Source organism: Homo sapiens, chromosome 9 (genome assembly GCF_000001405.40).
Source record: "Homo sapiens chromosome 9, GRCh38.p14 Primary Assembly".
NCBI lineage: Eukaryota > Metazoa > Chordata > Mammalia > Primates > Hominidae > Homo > Homo sapiens.
Window position 1 is genome coordinate 90,796,319 of NC_000009.12, and position 22,274 is coordinate 90,818,592.

The 22,274-nt window shown below is 42.5% G+C and overlaps 1 protein-coding gene across 8 annotated transcripts in view, besides 4 other annotated features; it reads left to right on the top strand.

The window, feature by feature from the left end:
• Nucleotides 5,250–5,459: a silencer, noted in NCBI's record as "silent region_20022". NCBI's record gives its function as "represses an Ori minimal core promoter by ATAC-STARR-seq in GM12878 lymphoblastoid cells {active_cell/tissue: GM12878}" and the evidence as "EXISTENCE:reporter gene assay evidence [ECO:0000049][PMID:35858748]".
• The window catches only part of SYK (spleen associated tyrosine kinase), a 96,950-nt gene continuing 79,957 nt past the window's right edge, over nt 5,282–22,274 (top strand). For 3 of the 8 annotated variants that reach the window (XM_047423809.1, XM_005252147.5, XM_047423810.1), the window contains exon 1: nt 5,501–5,721. The gene's annotated coding sequence lies outside the window, so the exon portion shown is untranslated. Of the gene's footprint in view, nt 5,722–22,274 lie in introns of all 8 variants that reach the window. The other 5 variants (NM_003177.7, NM_001135052.4, XM_047423811.1 and 2 more) reach the window with 2 other exon arrangements.
• Nucleotides 5,480–5,639: a silencer, noted in NCBI's record as "silent region_20023". NCBI's record gives its function as "represses an Ori minimal core promoter by ATAC-STARR-seq in GM12878 lymphoblastoid cells {active_cell/tissue: GM12878}" and the evidence as "EXISTENCE:reporter gene assay evidence [ECO:0000049][PMID:35858748]".
• Nucleotides 12,470–12,619: an enhancer, noted in NCBI's record as "active region_28573". NCBI's record gives its function as "activates an Ori minimal core promoter by ATAC-STARR-seq in GM12878 lymphoblastoid cells {active_cell/tissue: GM12878}" and the evidence as "EXISTENCE:reporter gene assay evidence [ECO:0000049][PMID:35858748]".
• Nucleotides 19,817–19,866: an enhancer, noted in NCBI's record as "active region_28574". NCBI's record gives its function as "activates an Ori minimal core promoter by ATAC-STARR-seq in GM12878 lymphoblastoid cells {active_cell/tissue: GM12878}" and the evidence as "EXISTENCE:reporter gene assay evidence [ECO:0000049][PMID:35858748]".

Genomic DNA, 22,274 nt, shown 5'->3' on the forward strand with positions numbered 1-22,274 from the left:
TCTACAAAATCCTGAACAATTCTCACTCAGATCTTGAGAGAAGAAGGGGCCATTGTTTATCCTTAGTTTTTCTCATTTTTGACTGTGGAGTAGTGAAAATGGCTGCAGTGGAGATTAGTGCAAAAGGAAATAGCAGCAATGTGGCATGATTTTGTCAGAGTGTGAGGACTCCAACGACCCACATTAATTGGGGGAATGAGCTGAAACTCACAGATGCCCCCAACCTCGCTGGACAGAGTAAGCTCAGCCTTCTCCCTCCCTCAATGAAGTGCGAAGCCTGCATGTTCCTCACAGTCTCACATTGGAAGGAGGGGCCCAGTTTGTGCAACACAACTCCAGCTAAGCCCACCCCCACCATTCCCACGCTCAAAGGTTATAGAAAATCAAGCTCAAAAGGAATATTAAGCCGTCATATGTAATCCAGAAAAGGGGTAAGAAAAGGCTCTGACATGAGGATTTAGGAGCTGCCACACACAAAGGGGCAGAGCAAAGTGAAAGTCTGAAGAAAGCTGCCAAGTATGGACAAGATGAAATCAATGAACTAGCAGCTATGCAAACCTTAAAAGAAAATAACATGCACAAATTAAAAATAAAATCCAGTCTGAAAGAATTTTTAAGTGCACAGGCTACAAAATTTGATAAGAGCCTGCATTCAATTTTTTAAAAAACTCAAGAACCGATTGAATAACCAAGAGAAAATAACTAAAAAGAGTGAGATAGAGAGAACCAGAGACAAAGAAATAATTTGAGGACCAATAAACCTACCTACAGGTAAATTAGAAATAACAAGAAATAAAGCAGACCCAGCTAAACATTTAGTTCCCGAAAAAAAAGAAAGGGAGAGAGAGAAAATCACTGTGAACCAGGAAGAAAAAACAAAGTAGATTACTACAATCAGAGAAAAGATAATAGACTTAGATGATAAAAAGTTAATTAATATCCTTGAAGAAAAGCACTTAACAAATAAAAAGGTATTTAAAATCACACAAGAAAAAATTCTTTGAATGAAGATCTAAATCTGCGCATTACAATGGTGGATACACAGCATTATATATTTGTTAAACACCATACAATATACAACACCAAGAGGGAACCTCAATGCAAACTTTGGGCTTTGGGTGATTATGATGTGCATTAAAGAGTGCATTGTGTTTAAGAAATAAAAGATGGCCGGGTGTGGTGACTCCTGCCATCACTTTGGGAGGCCAAGGCAGGATGATCACCTGAGGTCAGGAGTTCGAGACCAGCCTGGCCAACATGGTGAAACTCTGTCTCTACTAAAAATACAAAAAATTAGCTGGGCTTGGTGGCGGGCGCCTGTAATCCCAGCTGCTCAGGAGGCTGAGGCAGGAGAATTGCTTGAACCTGGGAGGCAGAGGTTGCAGTGAGCCAAGATCACGCCATTGCACACCAGCCTGGGCAACAAGAGTGAAACTCCATCTCAAAAAAAGAAAAAGAAATAAAAGATGCTGGTTGATCTGTATCAGTATATATCCTTGTCAAGTTTCTTAATATCTCAGTTAAAGAAAGTTTCCTCCAGCAGCCTGGAAAGAAGAGCAAGTCACCTAAAAGAGGACAAAGGACTGGCTGTTCTCACATTTCTCCAAAACAACATTCAATGCCAAAGGGGCAAGGGAGGAAAATCAACCGAGTCTAGGCCAAAGGGAAGTAGGATGGAGACACAATGTGCCCACCTTGATGTCACTGCAATACAACAGCAACAGAATAACATCCTGAAAGTGGAGAGCATTGATAGATGCAGTATGTGGGATCACATCTTCACAGAGTCCATCCAGCTCATCAACAAAGAAAGTAGGAATGAGATATGGTGGTAGAAAGGTCTGGAGGTGCATAAGGTATCCTTTTAAATGGAGAACTAAGAAGAGACCACTGAGGGTTTATGGTTACAGAAATCAAAAATTTTAAACTTAACTATGTAAAACTCATATAACTAGGGAAACGTGAGAGGTGAGCTGAAGTGAAGTGGAGTGAGAGAGGTAATTGGTTCATGTATCATAGCAGAGTTACTGATACTGTCTGAAATTAAAGCTCATGGTTTAGAAGAAATGACGAAAACTGCTTATTATTGTCACTTTTCTTTTCCTTTAATCAAAGTGGGGTCATTTCAGAAATGATACATTTGTGGCAAAGAATCATTTCTATAAAATCAGCAATTCTTTAGATCCCATTTCAGAATTTTTTATTCTGTTAAATTTAAGTAGAATTAAATATCATATTTAACATGGATAAAATGTATAATAAATGTATTATATTTAAAATGATGCCCATTTTTATATCTATTGCCATGTGTACATATAGAAAGAGATAATTTTGTAAGGGTCACCTAACGGTAATGATGATTATGTCTGAAATTTGGGATGTTTCTATTTCCTTTGTGCTTTTATTCTTTTAAGGGATTGCCTATTAGGAATACTTGCCACTGTTACCAAAAAAACTATTTTTTTAAATTAAACACTATTTTTTAGAGCAGTTTTAGGTTCACAGTAAAAATGAGAGGCAGGTACCGAGGTTTCCCATATACCCACTGACCTCACACATGCACAGCCTTTCCCATTATCAACAGCCCCATCAGACTGGTACATTTGTTACAATTGATGAACCTACTTTGACACATCATAATCACCCAAAGCCTGAAGTTTACACTGATGTTCCCTCTTGGTGTTGTATATTGTATGGTGTTTAACAAATGTATAGTGCTGTGTATCCACCATTGTAATATCATACAGCATACTTTCACAGCCCTAAAAAATCTCTGTTCTCCTTCTATTCATCCTGCCCTCCCCACCAGCCCATGGCAGCCACTGATCTTTTTACTATCCAGATAGTTTGGCTCTTTCCAGAATATCACCTGTTGAAATTATACAGTATGTAGCCTTTTCAGAGGGCTTCTTTCACTTGGTAATATGCATTTAGATTTCATCCATTTCTTTTCATAACTTGCTAGTGCATTTCATTTTAGTGTGGAACAATATTCCATTACACTGATGTACAAGAGTTTATATATCCATTCACTTACTGAATGACATCTTGTTTGTGTCCAAGTTTTGGCAATAAACTTAGTAAATAAAGCCAGCGTAAACATTTGTGTGCAGATTTTTGTGTGAACATAAGGTTTGAACTCCTTTGGGTAAATACCAAGAAGCACAATTACTGGGTACTACTTTAGGTAAATACCAACTACTTTGGGTAAATACCAAGAAGGACAATCCTCTTATAATTACTCATGTTGTAAGAGGATGTTTAGTTTCATAAGAAACTGCCAAACTGTCTTCCACAGTGGCTGTACCATCTTGCATTCACAACAGCAATGAATGAGTATTTCTATTGCTTCACATCCTCACTAGTGTTCACTGCGGTCAGTGTTCCGAATTTGGGCCATACTGATATCTTACTGTCTTCATTTGCATTTCCCTGATGATACATAATGTGAACCATCTTTTAGGCTAGGCATGGTGGCTCACGCCTGTAATCCCAGCATTTTGGGAGGCCAAGGCAGGCAGATCACGAGGTCAGGAGATCGAGACCATCCTGGCGAACACGGTGAAACCCCGTCTCTACTAAAAATACAAAAAATTAGCCGGGCATGGTGGCGGGCGCCTATAGTCCCAGCTACTCGGGAGGCTGAGGCAGGAGAATGGCGTGAGCCCAGGAGGCAGAGCTTGCGGTGAGCTGAGATGATCGGGCCACTGTACTCCAGCCTGGGCAACAGAGTGAGGCTCCGTCTCAAAAAAAAAAAAAATTACTACATGATACTAAGTAATGCGGAAGGTGACTCAAAGGGGGAAAGGAACACAGCAGTGTAAAGGAAGGAGGTTGTAGATGGATCTAGAATTTCCCCCTCATTTCCATCAGGTGAAAGCCTGAGAAAACTGCAATCTTTGTGCAGGCTGGGTTTGCTTTGTACACACTGGTCCCCTAGTGTTCATCTCCAATAATGCTGACAACTCTGAAAACCATCTGTAGACATTCTGCAGGCTCCATCTCAGGAACAATGGCTATTTTTTCGGGTAGTTGAAGCAAAATTAAGTCCAATGATAAGCAAATATAACCATTATCAAAATCTTCCATTTATGTTTGTTAAAGCAACCTAAGTATGATCTGAGAAGGACTCTGTATTCTATATTTGAGTCCTTGTGGATGAACTGTAACCTAGCTTAATAGGCAGACAAGATTGAAAACCTAATTTAGGAGTATGTGCCTTTAACAATAGCTGAGTCTTGGCCAATCCCAGTGGCCATACTTCAACCATTCATACACTGCTGAGTGTTCAAACTGTGTTCAAAGAAGGCAAAAGCCAACCTGTAACCAATCCAGTTGTTTCTCTGCCTTACCTCCAATTTCTGTATGTCACTTCCCTTTTTTTGTCTATAAATATGTTCTGACCATGAGGCATCCCTGGAGTCTCTGAATCCGCTGTGATTCTGGAAGCTGCCCCATTCGCAAATCATTCATTACTCAATTAAACTGCTTTAAATTTAATTCTGCTGAAGTTTTCTTTTAACAGGTTTAGAAAAAATAATGGCAAAAATGAATGAAAATCCAATAACCCTGGAAGCAGAAAAGGCTGGGGGCTCCAATAAGTGTAAATAGTCCCATCCCTATATTTTCTCCATGGCAATTACAATCCAGCACATTATATATATATTTTTTTGCTTCTCGCATTTTGGCTTAGGGTAAAGCTTTTTAAAACAGGCACTGCCAACCAGTGTTATCAAGAAGGTCTGGATGCCGTTTTGTGGGAACATTTTAAAGAGGAATGTCCAAAAGGAAAAGGGGGATGGGTTGGGAGAAGGGTATCAGGCGGGTATCTCAAAACCATTCTTAGGGCTATAGGTTTAATTTATTTGGTTGTGGACGTCAGAGCCGTCATGGTAAGAAGGAAGCAAAGCCTTTTGTAATAATTAAAGCCTTCAGAAGCAGCGTGCCCCATTGCCCACTAGTGCGCCGTGAAGTCTGGTGTTCACCTACAGGGTCCCTCTCAGCACTGCCCAGGCCTCCCGAGTGCTCCAGCACAGTAGCTTGGAGCTTGTTGGTTTGGTGACCAAGATACACTCCAGGGAATATGCCATGCAGTGGAGTCTCTTCCCCGGCACTGCATAGCAAAAGGAAAGGGCCGCTGGGTGTCTGTGGGTCCTGGGCAGTCACAGAAGCCACCGCGCTGGCGGGGAGGAGGGGGACCGATGCGGTCCATGTCCCGGGCAGCCCCACCTTCTCTGCCTGCGAAGGGCCCTTGTCCGGCGGGAGGAGAGAGGCGCGCCCCACCCGGGCTCCTCTACACCTGCCGCCGCCTGGGCCGATTCCGCGGGCCTCGCCCGGCGCTTCAGCCGATTCCCGCCCAGCTCCGGGCTCATGGGCGCGGTCAGCAGGGCGGGCCAGGGCGGCGGGGCGCGACACTGGGAGGAAGTGCGGGCCGCCTGCCCGGGCGCGTTAAGGAAGTTGCCCAAAATGAGGAAGAGCCGCGGGCCCGGCGGCTGAGGCCACCCCGGCGGCGGCTGGAGAGCGAGGAGGAGCGGGTGGCCCCGCGCTGCGCCCGCCCTCGCCTCACCTGGCGCAGGTAGGTGTGGCCGCGTCCCCTACCCGGCCGGGACTTTCTGGTAAGGAGAGGAGGTTACGGGGAACGACGCGCTGCTTTCATGCCCTTTCTTGTTCTACCTTCATCGGCCGAGGTAAAAGTGCTGAAACCATGTGAATAAAATACAGGTGGGTTCCGCCAGCTTCGCTCCTGAACCTACCCGCGCTCGGGATCCAGAAGCTGCGCCGGGAGAGAGGGGCTCAGGCCTGGGCGGAGGGGACGGAGGTCAGACCGTGCGGAAAGTGACCCGGGCACCCCAGGGCGCCCAGGCCCCCAGGGAGCGCGGAAAGTGCGGTCGCGGCCCGGCCCTCGGGAGACGCGGGATTGGGATCAGGCACAGCGCGAGGAAGTCGATCTTGGAGCTAGAACATTTTCCTTTGGCCATTTACACGAATCCACTGGAAAATGCCGCAGTGTTTATCAAAGTTACTCAAAGTAGAAATGTCCAGACGTCTTATGAGCTTAGACAAATCTTTTACTACAAAAAGAAACAGCAGTTGCATTCAAACAACAACCCTTCTGAACCACTACTAAAATTTAGCATAATTACTCTTGTGGATACATTTTCATTGTCAAGTAATTTACTTAGCCAATGAACTTGGAGAGCAAGAAAGTTTTATGTAGTAAAATGTAAATTTGAGTTAAGAGTTAAGGGTGTTTCTTTTTGTCTGTTTGTCTGTTTTTGGCAATGTGGCTCCAAAACCTTAAGCCCACCTAAAAACTATATAAATGCAATCCATTCTTTTGTTGGAATGTTCAAGGACTAGAAAGACAATTGGAGAAGTGAGAGTTTGAATCTTTTTTTACGTTGGAAACAGTGTTGCAAAATATTTTTTGAGTTTTGCCTGACTTAGCAAAGATTCAGTCGAACTCAAGTAGAGTTCAAAGCATTGCAGCGTGTAGTAAAAAAAAAAAAGAGTTGAAGATGTTGTGCCATATCTGATTCTTGGTATTAAAAATAAAAAAAGGAACCATTTAATCCCTAAGAGTTCCTGGAAGAAATGGAATTGATTCTACCATCTGACTTCTTTGTCTTAGTAGGGACAAATTCATTGCCTTCACACAGGCAGCATTTTAATTAAATGCAACTAAATACATTGATGTCCTCCTTCTCCCCAGTGAAAGTCCGAGCAGTGCATAGATAGAATTATATTTTCTCAAAAAGGCTTAAATACATGTAAATTATTAAGTGTTTTAAGTGAGAAATCTTTGTCAGTTGAAATTATTTTATCAAATCATTTTTGTTCTGAACGGCACTTTTGTTTTAACGTATTTAGAAAACTCTTGCATTAAAACAGAAATTGATTTGTATTATCCCCTGTATTTGAAGTGCACTTTAAAGTGTATTTGAATGAGAGATTATAATCAAATTACTTGATTTGTGTCTTATCCTCTTACTCTTCTACCTTGGATTTGAAAAGGTTGGATTTGAACACTAGGAAAAAAGAGATTTTTCTACTGAGGGATTGTGGGAAGATTTTTTTTTAAGCCTCTGTATTTGAAGTGAAATATAAAATAGGATTTTATAATAGTCTTAATAACTAGAAAGTTTTAAGCTAGGATAAAAATGGGGTGTATACTTTAGGTCTTTATCTTTCCTGAGAGATGAAATTGGTAGAAACGTTATTTTATTGCTAGATTTCACTTTAGAAATGAATCACCCTGATCTTTGTTAGGCCCCTATTTAATATTCTAAATGCAGGTCTAATCTCTCTGCTTTTTTTTAATGGAAGACTTCTTAGTAGAACTTCACTTATTTAGCACATTGTTTGCCCATGGTTATAATCCAATATGCTTGTGCCAAGACGTATTTTGGAATTCAAGCTTTTTCAGAATTTGGAATTAAAATTTAGAATCTAAATTTCAGAACTGAGAAAGACATTGCTCAGAATTTAGAAAGGTAAACATACATGTTGACCCTGCTGGTTACATGCCATTCCAATATAGTCTGGAGAGAATCCTGTAATTCCATGCATTAATATTTCTGTACTTTTACATTTAAGAACATGAATATTCTCACTAAGTGGAATAAATAAAGACTATAAAGAGCTGTGTGTCTGTTTAGAGCAGGTGTTATCACTACGAGAGCTTCTCTAAGACTTACCAAAAAAAAAAAAAGTGTTGTTTTTCAGAGCTTTTTAGAGCTGCAGCTGAGGGACTGAGTCTGTATTAGACTCCACTGAACTACGGTTTGCTTTTAAAAGGAAAGTGCATTTATGTTGTTCAATACTTCACACTTTCCAGTAATTAGAAGGGCAGTTCCTCTCTCTTTAGGGAGTCTTAAATAGCAAGATTTTACTGAATTTTCAATCATACCGATCAAAATAGAGGTACTTCAAGTAAGAGTGGATGTCTCATCTTTGTAATATAATTTCAAACAGCATAGTTTCTGACAGTCTACCATTTTAGAGAAACAGAGCAGAAGTTACTTACAGGAGGGGTTACTGTCACCCTTTACAGCTGCAGTCTGTCCATGGAAGAAATATTATTTCCTGTTAACTTTGCAACCAGCTGGGTTTGTGTCAGTTATCTAAGCCTAAGTGATGGCTAATTTTTACTTTCTCAACTTTCCCTGTATAGATTTTTTTCCAGCTACCCCCTGACTTTTCTACTCTTGCTTTGCTGGTTTTAACATTTTCCACTACTTCTGGATTGGTTTAGCTATAACTGGGTGGAGAAAACAACAACAACAACAGGAATTTAGGCCTTTGGGGAAGAATTTGTTTTGTTTTAGAAGTCTACACATTGAGCATTACTTTTTCTTCTAAAGCAACTAAAATCAGAAGGCAGAGTCCTAATGAGAGATTATGATCAAATTGCCTCATTTGTGTCTTATCACCTTCCTCTTCTACTTAGATTTGAACAGGTTGGATTTGAATACTAGGAAAAAAGGGTTTTCTACTGAGGGATTGTGGGAAGATGTTTTAAGAACTAGTCTGATTGGATTTTAGGAAAGTTCATTCATTTTGATATGATGTTATCAGGGACATTTTCTATTTGCTTATAATTTTATCTGACCAATATTAGCTTGTATCAATTTGAGGTTTTTTTTTCCTTTATGAATCAATTGTGCAAGGTTTGCCCTACATCTCTTAAAAGGTGGTTAAACTGGAATCTTAAAGACAGTTGAATTTAGCCAAGACCAAAGATATGCAAAGAAAGAATATTTTGTTTATGTTACAGTACATTTAATAAATCCAAATGGCTCCCTTGATTCTTTTCTTTCTGGGACACCACGTATTGATTTCTGGCAGCTGGCCAAAGGCAGATGGTGGTGGAGCAAGCGAGGACAGTTAAGAATGTTGATGATTACTGGATTACTGAGGAGTACTGTGAGCTTTCTGGTCCTCTGCTCAGAGGTGTCTAGCTCTGAAACTGGGATCCTGGCTCTGAGCTGGAGAGGCGCTTCCAGTTACTGCTGTCCTGGAGCGCTGGAAGGGAGCATAAGTGTGAGGAGACAGTGGGCTTTTAGCCTGGGATGCAGATGAGAGATGTCTTGACCTGAGTGAAAACCTTGCAGGCAAGCTGCAGGTCTACCGAGCAGGGTGAGGGAGGCTCTCGACCTGGATACTGTGAACTAGGGAGAGAAAGTAAATTCAACAGAAGGAGGGCCCAGGGCAGAGATTTAGGAATATCCACAGTTTAAATATTGCTTTACTTAAGTATACTCTGCCTGACTATAAGTAGCATTTGAATGTTCAACATATGACCTTTCATTTCTCCCCTCCATTGGTTTGTCTTAACTGATAAATCTTTATTTTCCCATGGTCAACCTGGTAGTTTATTAATATTACATCTATCAGTTCCTGTTGAGTTGACATGAAAATGTTTTGGTGTGACCTAAGTTAATTTCTCTTTTTGTTTAATTTTAATTTGTAATGAGTTCCTCTTTTCATTCTGCCCATCCTTTGGTACTGCTTTGAGTTATGTCCTCTAGAATTCTCACTATTTCCTTATGATTGGCATATTTTCAAAGTTTTTTGGTGTACTAATTTTAAACAGTGTTTGTTGACACTGAGAATTCAGGACTTTGGAGTTTTAGACCACCATCACCTTCTACTCCTTCTCACACCATCCCAGGATAATTATTCTCTCATTTGAGATTAAGAAGTTATTTGGTTTATTTTATTATGGTTATATAAATATAGTTTACTGCTAAAGCAAGGTATATCATTCCATTTTCTATCTCGTACCCCTTTTTGCTCTTCCTGGGGTAAACCCTTGCTTTGTTTTTGTGTTTTCTTAGTTTGCACTGTGCCTATTATCATTTCCTTCCCAACTTTCTGACATAAAGATGAAAGCCCTATTGACACAATTTTCTACAGTGTCAGATATACCAAGTAATCTCACGGTTCCATTTTTCTTTCTTTTTTTCTAGAACCCTCCATCTTCTTCTTGTCTAACAGTTGCTCTTCAGTCTTGCTATACATACAGTAATACCTGAAGAATGTTTGGAGGATATTTGGTGTGGGACTTTTCTTTTTTTTTTTTCTTTTTCTTTTTTGTAGAGATGGGCTCTCACTATATTGCCCAGGCTAGTCTCAAACTCCTGGGCCCAAGCAATCCTCTTGCCTCAGCCTCCCAAAGTGCTGGGATTATAGGCATGATCCACTGTGCCCAGCCCTATGGGGAATATTTGTTGACTAAATATGTTTTATGTAAATTGCTTATCATACTCTTTGTTGTAACATCTGTGGCATTAATATGCCTCTTGTTAACACTCACCTACATTTTACCTGTTGTAAATCCACTGTCATAATTATTGAAAATATTTCTCCAGAGCTTTTTAATTCTATGGTTATTTATTTATTGTAGTATAGAACTTTTATGATTTCTTCCATCAGGGTGCATTCTGAATCATGCTTAGTGAGAGATGGTTTTTAACTCCACTTTAACAGTTAGCATCTATGTTTTACATCAGTGTCAATGTCACTTTTGTATTATATACGACACCAACATTTTATTATCTGAGTGATGAGAATGTTTATTTTTGTGGAAATGGAGATCTCATGAGACTTTAAGCAGATTGCTGGCCTTCTCCTCGATTTCCTTGATTGATTCCTGAAGTGGAACTGCAGTGCTAAGTGGAATTCCCTGGGAAGCTTGCTCAAGTAAGTAAGCATGAGAAATGCTGAATGAAATAAAGTGCAGCAAGCAGGGATAAATATCATGGGCATCTTCAGAGCCTTTGTGCAGGTAACATGCACAGAGATTCTCTGAGAGAGTCAGTCTCAGCCAGTGGTCCTACACTTCCATGACCCTGCAGTGCGTTTGTTCTTAGAGTGGCTTTCAGGGCTGGCTCTGCCACAGCCTCTTTGGGAAACCATGCATGACCTCTTGCTGCTCCTTACCAAGCTCCTTAGGCTTTGCTTGGTAGAGGCAGAATGTTGTGGTTGTTTTCATCTTAAATGCTAACAATATATGAATTATGTGGTGGATACACTGCCTCAAAGTGACATTTATCGAATATTTTTGTAGCTACGGGTTGAGAGTAAGGGTCTGAGGCCCCACTGGGTTCAAGTCCCCCTTCTTTATTTGTAAGCTCTTCTTTTGTAAATGGAGCAGTCACAGGGGGCTTCACTCTGATACCTAATGGAGACCGTGCCTGCAGTGCTCGGTACCTGGTATGTGGTTAAAACTGACATAACTGTCAGAGCCTCTCCCAGGCGGGCTGACTCTGGGAATCTGCCCTGCAGTCTTGGAGGGAAGGCACGTCCAGATAGGTTTGATGAGCAACTACAATTGCCAAAGTTAGTTTCTCTGACCTCCAAGATGGGAGAACTTTCTAATATTTTCTTTTAGGAAAGTTGTCCATTGCATAACTGATACACGAGTACATATCCTTTAGTACAGGATTCAGATACAGCGAGCAACAGAAAAGCCCTTCTTAACCTCCACCCTCAGTCCCAGCCCTGCCCCCAGTCCCACTGTTGGGGAGCAGTTGGAGCTCTAACCTCTCTTCTTTCGTCCTGTGCATTCATGTGTGCATGTGTGCACGTCTTCAGAAGATATAATGGTGGGCTGTGTATGTCTTCTTAATACCTTTATCACTCTGGAACTTTCTTTTTATTAATATGTTGGGGTGCGGGGAGGTCTCCATATTCAGTGATTATTGTAATTTTTATGACAGTCCAGAATAGGCATGTCGATTTTTTTTAATTTTTGATATTATAAACAGTGCTGCAATGAATGCACTTTTTCTTTTCATTCTTTCCCTCTCCTTTGCCATTTGCACTGTGTTTTCATGAAACCATCAGGTTAATCTTTATCTCAAGGAAGCCCTTCATCCCTGTCCATCCTGTTCTTCAGTCCATCCACTTAGTTTTCCTATGATTATTTTAGCAAGCAGGTGGTTAATTTCCAAGGAATGTAGTTACTTCTTTGGGATTTTTTTAAGTGATGTATTAGTTTTCTGTGTATTTTATTACTTGTTTGAGTGCACCATTACCCCCGTCTCCCGGGGTATCAGTTCATCTGCTTGCATGCTTGGTGCCTCTCTCTCCTGCTGTCAGCTTTCCTGATGTGCTGGGTATTTCCACGTGTGTGTTGGTTTTTTTTTTTTTTTAGGTACCCTAGGCATTAGTCTTTTAAGGCTGCATTCTTGCAGCCTGTCCCACATGAGATAGGAGGAGGGCAAGACCTGGATGTGCACAGGGCAGGATGGGCCCATAACTGGTCTGTGTGGTGTGTGGGTGGCAGGAACTCCCTGTTCTTTGTGGGTATGGCCATGCCTTCCCTATTCAAACGAAGCCACACACCTGTCTTTTCCTGCGAGGCGTCTTCTGCTGCTTTCTTGGAGCTGGGGAGCATCTACTCTTCCCTTGTCCTCCCGCTCCTCCCTGTTCCTCCCTCAGGTCTCTGTCGCTTCTAAGGCACTCCACCCTTGGTCTTCTCCCACCTTGCACCCCCCACACTGCTGCCTGCCTGCACAGGGGGACTGTGATTGCCCCCTTCAGTGTGAGCCTGACCTGCTTCATGCCTTTCAAGGAGAGCATTCATTGCCAAGCTACTCATGGAACATCTCCTCAGATCCTCAGCGTGCTATGACTTCATTTTCTGTAATACTGTTTTTCATGTTTCTTCCCCTTCTCTGCATTTATAGCTGTGCATATGCTTGAGGTGGAAGGCCACCACTTCCTTTTGGTTAACAACACCAATCAGCTGATGGTCATGGCTACGTGAAGGAACTCACAGTGAGGGCTCAGGAAGAGCCTGGCTAGAGCAGGCTGCATCGCAGGCCTTGGCGTTAGGTTCCCCAAATCACTGCTGGTGATCTTGTAGCTCTGTCATGAAGTCTGTCCTGCTTATTAGGATACCGAGGGTCCAAATTCATAGATTCTTAGAAGCCTGTTTAAATATGCAGAGTATCTAATTCAACCCGATTAGAAACGGGCTCAGAAAGGTGAAGGGATTTGTCCAACCACTGAGTGATGCTGCTGGGATTAGAACTCTCAAAACTAGGTGTTTCTAATCCAGAACCAGAATCCCTATCCACTACTCTAATAAGGCGTAAAAGAGGATCTGCTGTCCTGCCTAATTGGTGGGCAGGTTTGGAGTCCTGTCAGCAGCTCAGGAAAGCCTGGAGAGGCAGAGGGAGGACACAGGCTCAGTGTCAGACATGCCAATTTTACTCATCACCAATGGTTACACAAAACTTGTTTTGATCTTTGTGGCTTTTGCATTGAGAAGTTAAGCATATACAATAGGAATTAGACACAATCCCAAACCAATGAGAGACTCAAGTGAGAAGAGCTGAAGCTTTTATGCATGCCTTCCTTCCATAGAGATAAATTTACTATCCAGAGTGAACTAGAGCCTCGTGGAAAGTGAGTGCCGAGCCCCTAGCTGTGAGTGTCTCTGTCCTTCCCACATCAGACCTCCATGTCTGTGGCTGTCCCCCTACGGGGCAGAACTGCTGCTCTCTGCTTGTGTTGCTGTCGTGAGGGTTGGGAGTGGACAGGTGTGGACAGATCTCAGACCCGTTTCCCTCCTGTTATGGAAATGTTTGTGAGGCAGGTGGGACTTCAATGATTTGGTCAAGGAAAGGCAGCTTGGCAGCTGGGGAGAAGGGCTCAGGCTAGAAAGGCAAGCGTTTGTGAGGGATGATTTCCCCAAAGAAGCCAGCAGTGTGTAAGGTATTCCCCGGAGCTTGTTTCTTCTCAGAAGACTCTGGAAGCTGTGTCAGTGTCTGTTATGGAGGAATGGAGTATCAGTCCGATCAGGCTTTCATAACAAAGCACCACATACTGAACGGCTTGAACAGCCCAATGTGTCGCCTCCCAACTCTGAGCCAAAGAGACTGAGGTCAGGATGTCCCAGGGTGGCTCCTTCCAAGGGTTGGGTGGGACAATGTGCCCCCAGCATCTCCTTGGCTTGTGGGTGACCATCTCCAGCTCCACATGGCATGCTCCCTGTGTGCCTGTCTCTGGGTCCAGATCTCCTTTTCATGTAAGGACACCAGTCATGTTGGAGTAGGGCTCACCCTAAGGACTTCAATGGGGCGTAATCACTGCTGTAAAGACCCTGTCTTTAAATAAGGTCACACTCAGAGGGGTTAGGGAGTTAGGACATCAACATTTGAACTTGGGGGGACACAATTCAACCTGTAACAAATGTGTGAGTGAAGACTGGCACCTCCCCACGATGGCCTTTCTGTGATGCCATCAAGAGCACCAGGGAGCTCTCCAGATATGGAGATGGACAGATGTCTAAGGCCCCTGAAATGAGCCTGCTGTACAGATGATTCCAGAACTCTGTCAGTGTGAAGACCAAACACAATTAAGCACATTAAAATACTTACGGTAAAGTGTTTCTTTCACTTTAGATGTGCAAAAACTTAAAGAGAGAGAGACTTATGAGAAGACTCAGGGAAGAAATGTAAGATAAAGGTGTTAAGGGAGACAAACTCCACAAAATTGTAAAGTGAAGCTGCTGTGGGGAGTAGAGCCCAGACCCAGATAATATGCAGGCATGGGTCCAAGGGAGGCTTTGCACACCAGGCGGGGGAGGTGCAGGGCCATGGATGAATGGTCTTGGGAAAACGGCAAATCGTTTGGAAAAAAAAACAAAACTTTGCTCTTTATATCAAAATAAATTCCAAGCTGAACAAAGAATAAAAATATAGCATTGAAATAATGAAGCTATTAAAAGAAAACTTAGGTGAGTTTTAAAATAATTGTGAAGAGGCCTGTCTAAATGTGATAAAACATATGAATTTATATTCACACTCATCACAAGATTGATAAGCATGATTTCCTAAAATTTTAAGCAAATCCCCATAAAATGAAAAAATATACAAATAAGTGAAAAAAATGGTAAGATATATTTAATTTCAATACTTGTGGTAAAGCATCAATAGCTTTAATATGCAGCGAGTTTTTTCAAATCAATAAGAAAAAAGACACAGATGGGTGCTGACAGGGCCGTTTGGTAATATCTTTTAAAATTTAAAACACAAGTGCTTTCACTCAACAACTTCACTTTTAGGAACCTATCACACATATAAATTGACAAAAGTGGAGAAATATTCATTGCAACATTTTATTTTATAATAGCAAAAAAAAATCACTAAGGGAAGTACAGTTGATTCATATGTTGGAATCCTATGCAGTCTTCTAAAAAATGTGGAATTTATTTCATACACCAAATATAACAATGTCCAAGTTCTACTAGTGAAAAAGCAAGATGTAACATATCATTGTATTTGTTTAAAAAACTCATGCTGGGTTGGGTGCAATGACTCATGCCTGTAATTCCAGCACTTTGGGAAGCCAAGGTGGGTGGATTGCTTGAGCTCAGGAGTTTGAAGCCAGCCTGGGCAATATGGCAAAACCCCACCTCTATGACAAATACCAAAAAAAAAAACTAGCCTGGACTGGTGGTGTGCACCTGTAGTCCCAGCTACATGGGGGCGCTGAGGTGGGGGGATCACTTGAGTCCAAGAGGTCAAGGCTGCAGTGAGCTGAGATCATGCCACTGCACACCAGCCTGGGTGACAGAGCAAGACCCTGTCTCAAAAATAATAAGTGAAAAAAAAAAAAAAAACCTAAAAATCTCCCACATGCACATAATAATTTAAGTGATATTGGATTGTCGTTTACTACTTATACATGCATTTCTGCCTATACATATTCTATCCAGTGTGTACACATGTGTATGTAAATATGTAGCATGATCTGGAAGTGTAAGCACCAAATTAAGAACAGCAGCTTTGGGGGGAGGGGAATAGAATTGGTTTAGAGAAAAAGGTGAAATTAACATTTTTATTCTGCCTACTTCAGTGTGCCTGCAGTATTTACAACGATCAGGAGTGTGTACTTTTTTCAATTTAGAAAAATGATAATAATAAGGTTTGCTTGGGGGGAAAGGGTAAGTAGGATGAGACCAGGAAGAGAAGTAACTTAGAAACACATCATGCATCATGACTGCTGGCACCATTCTGTCCTCCAATGAAGAGCGAGGCTTTGAGAGGTTCAGCAGCTCACCCAAAGGTGTACAGCCATGGTCTCAAACATGCTTGCACCCTGCTGTCACTCAGGTCCTGAAGCCCAGGCCACCTCCAAGGACACTGGGGTGCTCTGGGGTGCAGCCTGCCTTCAGATGTTTCTTAAAGCCACTCCTACTCCACCCCACCCAGTGCAGGAGCCAAGATTGAGGACCACCATTTGACAGCTAGTTCATAGGATTTCATAGCACACAAACACATCTTTAAAGGCTGATGAGGTTTCCACCAAATTGGGATTTATTGGTATGCTGGGTATAATGGCAGCTGTGTGTGCCTTTGACTGCAAAGACACTGGGCAGGCCAGAGTGGCTCCTCCCCATTTGATATGTGTGTGTGTGTGTGTGTGTGTGTGTGTGTGTGTGTGAGAGAGAGAGATTGAGAGAGAGAGGGCTCGTGTTTTTCTGTTGCGAACAGTCCTTTCCACGGGAACTTATATTCTCCTAAGGTTTGCCACTCTGCAGAACTTTTGGAGGAAGGCTTTAGAGTGAGAATGTCAGTGCATTCTCAGCGTGCAACTGTAAGACTTGCAGGAGGTGAATGCACATGAAATAATTCTCAGAGGAAGAATATGTGCACTGGTCAGATAGCAAAACTGACCTGTAACATTTTCTACACAAGAGGATTTGAATGGTTTTCGTCTTTAAGATTTTTTTTTAACATTATGCTTAGTCCACCATGCTTTATTCTGTCAGACCATTTGCCATCTGCATGCTTCATGAGAAATGTTTTTTTCTCGTGAGAAGGACGTAAGCAATTTCGCTCCTGGTTGAGAGTTTGGTCCATAGTTTCTTGGTGTCTGTGGGTTGGCTTCTGGGCCTCGCTGGCTGCAGCTGATGGTGACCAGAAGGGCTGTTCTTGTGAGTCATTAGGGGATGGGCCGCTGCTGCTACCTCCCCACCCCAGCCACCTCCATCAGCACTGTGCCATACTCGCCCAGAAGGGCCCCTGGACTCATCGCCTGCCCCCATGTTTACACTTTTTAATAAAATCTCTAGAATTGTGGCTTAGACCTGTAAACATCCAGTTCCAAGAAGTGGCTCTAAAGCCCTCTCTGGGGGCAGAGTGGTTGTCAGAAGCAGACCAGGCCTCGGGGTCTAGATTCCATCCTTCACTGGAACTGCTGGGGGCTGGTAGTACCCCATCTGCAAAATGAGGTTAAAAATACCTAACCCTTGGGTTGCTATCAAGCTCAGAGATGCTGTATGCAAAGCACCAATCAGACTGGCTCACAAAGAATAGGCCCTCTGTCAAATGTTCATGGTTGAGTGCGGGATGTCAAGGATAAATAGCTACTGGTTACCAGGGAATTGAAGACAGGGTTCTTTTACAAGCAAAAAGATTTTATAAGAGGGTCACAGAAACAGAGTGACTCTTGCCCAACAGTATCATAAGCAAATAAGCTGTGTCTAGATCCTAATCATGTGTTTAGGGCTCTGCTGGGTTTAATAAGCAACACATAGGGGGTGCGTTGTCCTCCACTCTCACATCCCCAGTCACTAGACAAGGTCACTCCCCCGGGGGGCATCTTACTCAGAAGCTCTAAAAGACTTTGTTGCATGACTTTGGCCCTTGCTCTTTTAAAATGTCCAGTTAGAGACCATGGCATGGAGAGTTTTGTATACTCTGCTCCCAGCATGGCACCCTCTTTGCATATTGTGGGCACTCTTAAAGTTATTTCTCATATTGTAATATATCAGATATGACTTGGATATAGTCAACTAGATATTTAGTGAAAAATGTATCACCCCCATTATCAAAAGAAAACCCAAAGCCTTCAAGTTTGGCCCAACTAGAAGGAATTTCTGGAAGGGGGAAGTACCAGGACCACACAGACTCTGGTCCTGGCGGTGTGTTTATAAGATGCAGCTCATCATGTTGGTCTCTGTCATCCCTGCTAAGGCTGTTCATTATGGAACCACTGGCCACATGTGGCCACTGACCGCTCAATTACTTAAAACCATTTAAAATAAATGTTGAATTTCATTTAAAATTTAAAATTCAGTTCTCAGTCACACAGGCCAGGTGTCAGGGACCAGTTGCCACACGTGGGTGGAAGGTGTGTGTCAGGCAGAGTAGAACAGGTATTTCCATTGCTGTAGCAAGGTCTGCCAGACACCAAGCTGCTCTCAGCCCATCCCCTGAGGAGCCCAGAAGGGATATGAACTTCCACCCACCTCTCCCCTTTCCCAGTTCTCAGTGCCACTCCTTGCCTAAGTGCACGGTAACACTCGCCACTATTTCATGTGTTGATACCTGCAGCTCCCAATTTTCTTAAGAGGATCTGACCCTGGGAACTGATGAGGGCACCAGGAGTGCCCTCTCCTTTGACATGAGACCTTGAGTCTTGTCCATGGGGCCCTGGCCTGGCCCTTTTCATCCCCAAGGCTGTAACATTCTCCTGCACAACACAACACACGTGCACACACACACACACACACACACACACACACAAAATAATGTTACTTCTCAGTCACCCGGGAACTGACATGGTTCCCAGTTATTTCCTTGCAGCAGCCCTCCAAGCGGTAACACAGCCTTGGAGAAAGCTACTAAGTCATGTATCCTTGGGGTAAGCACACTTGGTTCAGAATAGTTTCTGAAAGAACAAACCAGGTTTTTGCTCAAGAGGGTTTTGAGGGACTGGAGAAAACCTTAGTGCTTGTTCCTTTCTCTTCGGTTAAAAAAAAAAAATCCAACATAGTTTCCTTGAAACATTTGGAACCTGAGGTTTTGTCCATTTTGAAAAGAAGATGTAGAGAGGTAACGTGTTTCTCACGAAGGCAAAACAAAAAAATAAGATGCCAAGCAAGTGGCCCTTGTACCTTCAAGACCAAGAAATAAGGCGTTTGTTTCTGGGAATGCCTTCCATTTGCTCATTTTGTAAGTAATCAAGGCAGGCTGAGAGGGGAGCCTTCTGAGGCACCCCAGTGAGCAGAGGTGGGGTCCTGCCACTGGCCCCTCGGCTCCAACCTTGCCTCACTCCAGGCGCTGGGGCAGAGATGTGTGGTTGGCCTGTCTCTGGAGTTCCTGTGCTGCTTAATTTGAGTAGAGATAAAAGGCCACAAGAGAAGTCGTTTTGAAGGGTTTGTGAATTATAGGACTTCCTTTCATGATTCAGCCTGACTCCAGGAAGTGCAGTCACGTGCTGCCCTCCTAGGGGAGCTTCGCCCCACCACCAGCACTCAGGCTCCACTTACTGCAAAAGGCGCGATCAAGATTCTTCTTCCTGAATTATTGTCTTAACAAAATTGATACGTCTAAACATTGAGTTAACACTTTCATTCACTAAAAATGTTTTCCTGAATGATGCTTTTCATGTGACTTCTTTATAGTCCCACGTGAAAAGGGGAATGTGCTCGGCTCTGTGCTTGTTCCCCTCTGTTTGGGAGCCTGCGCTGCTGCTCACTTCTGCAGTCAGCTCTGTTTGGATCAGTTTTGAACCCCAGAACCTTCCACATAGAGGTGATAATTCTAGATAATTCTAGAGCAACTGCTTCTCTATCTGGCTGTATGCTAAGCTCTCTAGAGAGCTTTACAAGGGAGAGATTCTGAGTGTTAGGGCTGGGAAAAGAGCACTCTGTGTGATCCTAACCTGCAGCTGAAATGCAGAACCACTGTTCTCAGCTGGAGCTTTTCATTGTTTTTTGTTTGTTTGTTTTGTTTTGTTTTGTTTTGCTTGTGAATTGAGCTTACTAATGGAAGCAGGAGCTTGTTCTGTTTAGCGATCGTGAGAACCACCTAGGCAGCGGAGCCTGCCCTTAGAATCTGCTTCACTGGGCTGTACTGGGCTGGGCATTGGCAGTTTTAGGACACATCTAGATGTGTCCCAAGCAATCTGATATTTTGATGTTTATCTTACAGAGAAGCATGTGTTTAGAAGGCAGATAGCTGTGCTTCTGTTCTTCTGATTTTCGACAGAGACATCAGAACCTTCCACAGTCATTTTAGTCTAAGTCCTGAAATCGTTCACTGCCAGCCCTGAGTCTAGCTGGACTATATGCCTCTGGTTGGACACGTCTGCCACCTCTGAGAACTGTGTGGATGTAACTCTTCTGTCTTCTGGCTCGTTGTGTTTCCAAGGAGAAGCTTGAGGCCCAGTAATACTTAAAAATTTTTTGGACAAATTTAATCTTACATAATTATGGGGTACACAGTGATATTATATCTGTACAAGGTGGAAGGGTTGAATCAAGCCAATTAACATACCCATCATCATAAATGCTTATCATTAATCCTCCTCTCTATCTGCAACTTTGTAGTCTTTGACTGTCATCTCCTTATTCCATCACTCCCCAGCCCCTGGTAACCACTATTTTGTTCTCTGTTTCTATGAGTTCAATCATTTTAGATTCCACATATGAGTGAGATCATGAGGTATTTGTTTTTCTGTGCTTGACTTATTTCACTTTACATAACTTTCTCCAGCTTCTTCTATGTTATCACAAACAATAGGATTTCCTTCTTTTTCATGGCTGAATAGTATTCCATTGTGTGTGTGCCACATTTTCCTTAGCCGTTTATTCCTTGGTGGACTTTTAAGTTGATTTTGTATCTTGGCTATTGCGAATAGTGCTGCAGTGAAGCATGGGAGTACAGATATCTTTTCAACATAAATTTGTAAACTTTCTTAAAACATTATGAGTTTTTTGTTTTGTTTTGTTTTGTTTTTTGCAATTTTTTGTTTTTGGCTCATCAGCTATCATTAGTGTTAGTATATTTTATGTGTGGCTCAAGACAATTCTTCTTCTTCCAGTGTGGCCCAGGAAAGCCAAAAGATTGCACATCCCTGCTCTAGAGGTTCCTGGATAAGATGCTCTTTTAACCCCTGTAGACAAGACTTTTTTTATTTCTGGAAATTTTATAACTTTAAACATGTGTTTTACTCCTTTATTTTAATTCTCTATTTCAGGGACATTAATTTTATATATTTTAGATCACCCCTGTCTTTCTCAATTTTTCTGTTGAATTCCTGAAGTCTTTGTTAATTCCTATTTCATTTTTCTCAAGCTCCACAGATCCTGTCCCCCATGCTGCCTGCAGTGTTAATATCCATTCATTTTTCCCTGCTTGATATAATAGCCAACATTTCTTTTCTGGCCTTTTCTCCTGATCTCTGCTGGCTTATCATTGTTTTTTGTTTTTTGTTTTTTGGCCCCTTCCTCCCTTTTGAGCTGTTATTTTAACCAAGTGATTATTCTGTTAAGTTCTTTGATTCCATATCTGTGTGTGTGGACATGCCTTCATCTGCCTTTTGGGACATTTTTCTCATGAAAGTCCTTTGCCATTTGTTTCTCCTGTTACTTCTCTTCTTTAATTATTTCAGCATCATTGTACAAATCCAAGGTAGGATCCTCATCTTTGAAATAGATCATGGAAGGGCCTTGGATGTGTTCCAGTTTACCAGAATATTTCCTCCCTTCTCAATAATGTTGTGTGTGTGTGTGTGTGTGTGTGTGTGTGTGTGTGTGAGAGAGAGAGAGAGAGAGAGAGAGAGGGTGAAAGAGAGAGAATGAATTGGTTTAATACATATTTCTCCCCAGTGAGGCTGCCAGCCATTCAGTCTCCTCTCTTCAACACTCTAAGAAATGGTTGGCTTTCCATTGCTGTGTATATCCTTCCACTCTGCAGGCCTTGTCTGAAGTCTACAGCAGCCAGTCCCCACTAAGGGTCTTCATGATCCCAGGGCAAACATAGCTGCATTGGGCTCCGCTTGTGGCATGTTATTGCTCAGGATCGGGGTGCCCACTGGTTCCATTTTATTTCTTTATCTGGTTCTTGTTGCAGGGTCATTTCAGAGAGGAGGGGGCAGTATCTCTGCCAACACCCAAGCAATCTGATATTTTGATGTTTATCTTACAGAGTGACTTAGAGTATGTGGCATTGAAACCAATGGTTAAAAATCAACAAATAAGCAGGAAACAACTTCAGAATGACCAAAAAAGTTCCTGGGGCACTCTTAGCTTCCACCAGCCTCTCTGATGGTCAACCAGGCCATTTTGTTGGCTTTGATCCGTTCAGCACATTGAGTTATGGGGCGCCTCCCACGTGTCAGGAGCAGGGTGAGGTATGGGGGCTGTCGCAGCAGCTGAGATGCTTCCCTGCACTTGACTTGTTTACGGTCAGATCGTAAGGAAGCATGGGAGCCCAGCATCAGGCTCTGCTCATGCATAATCTCAT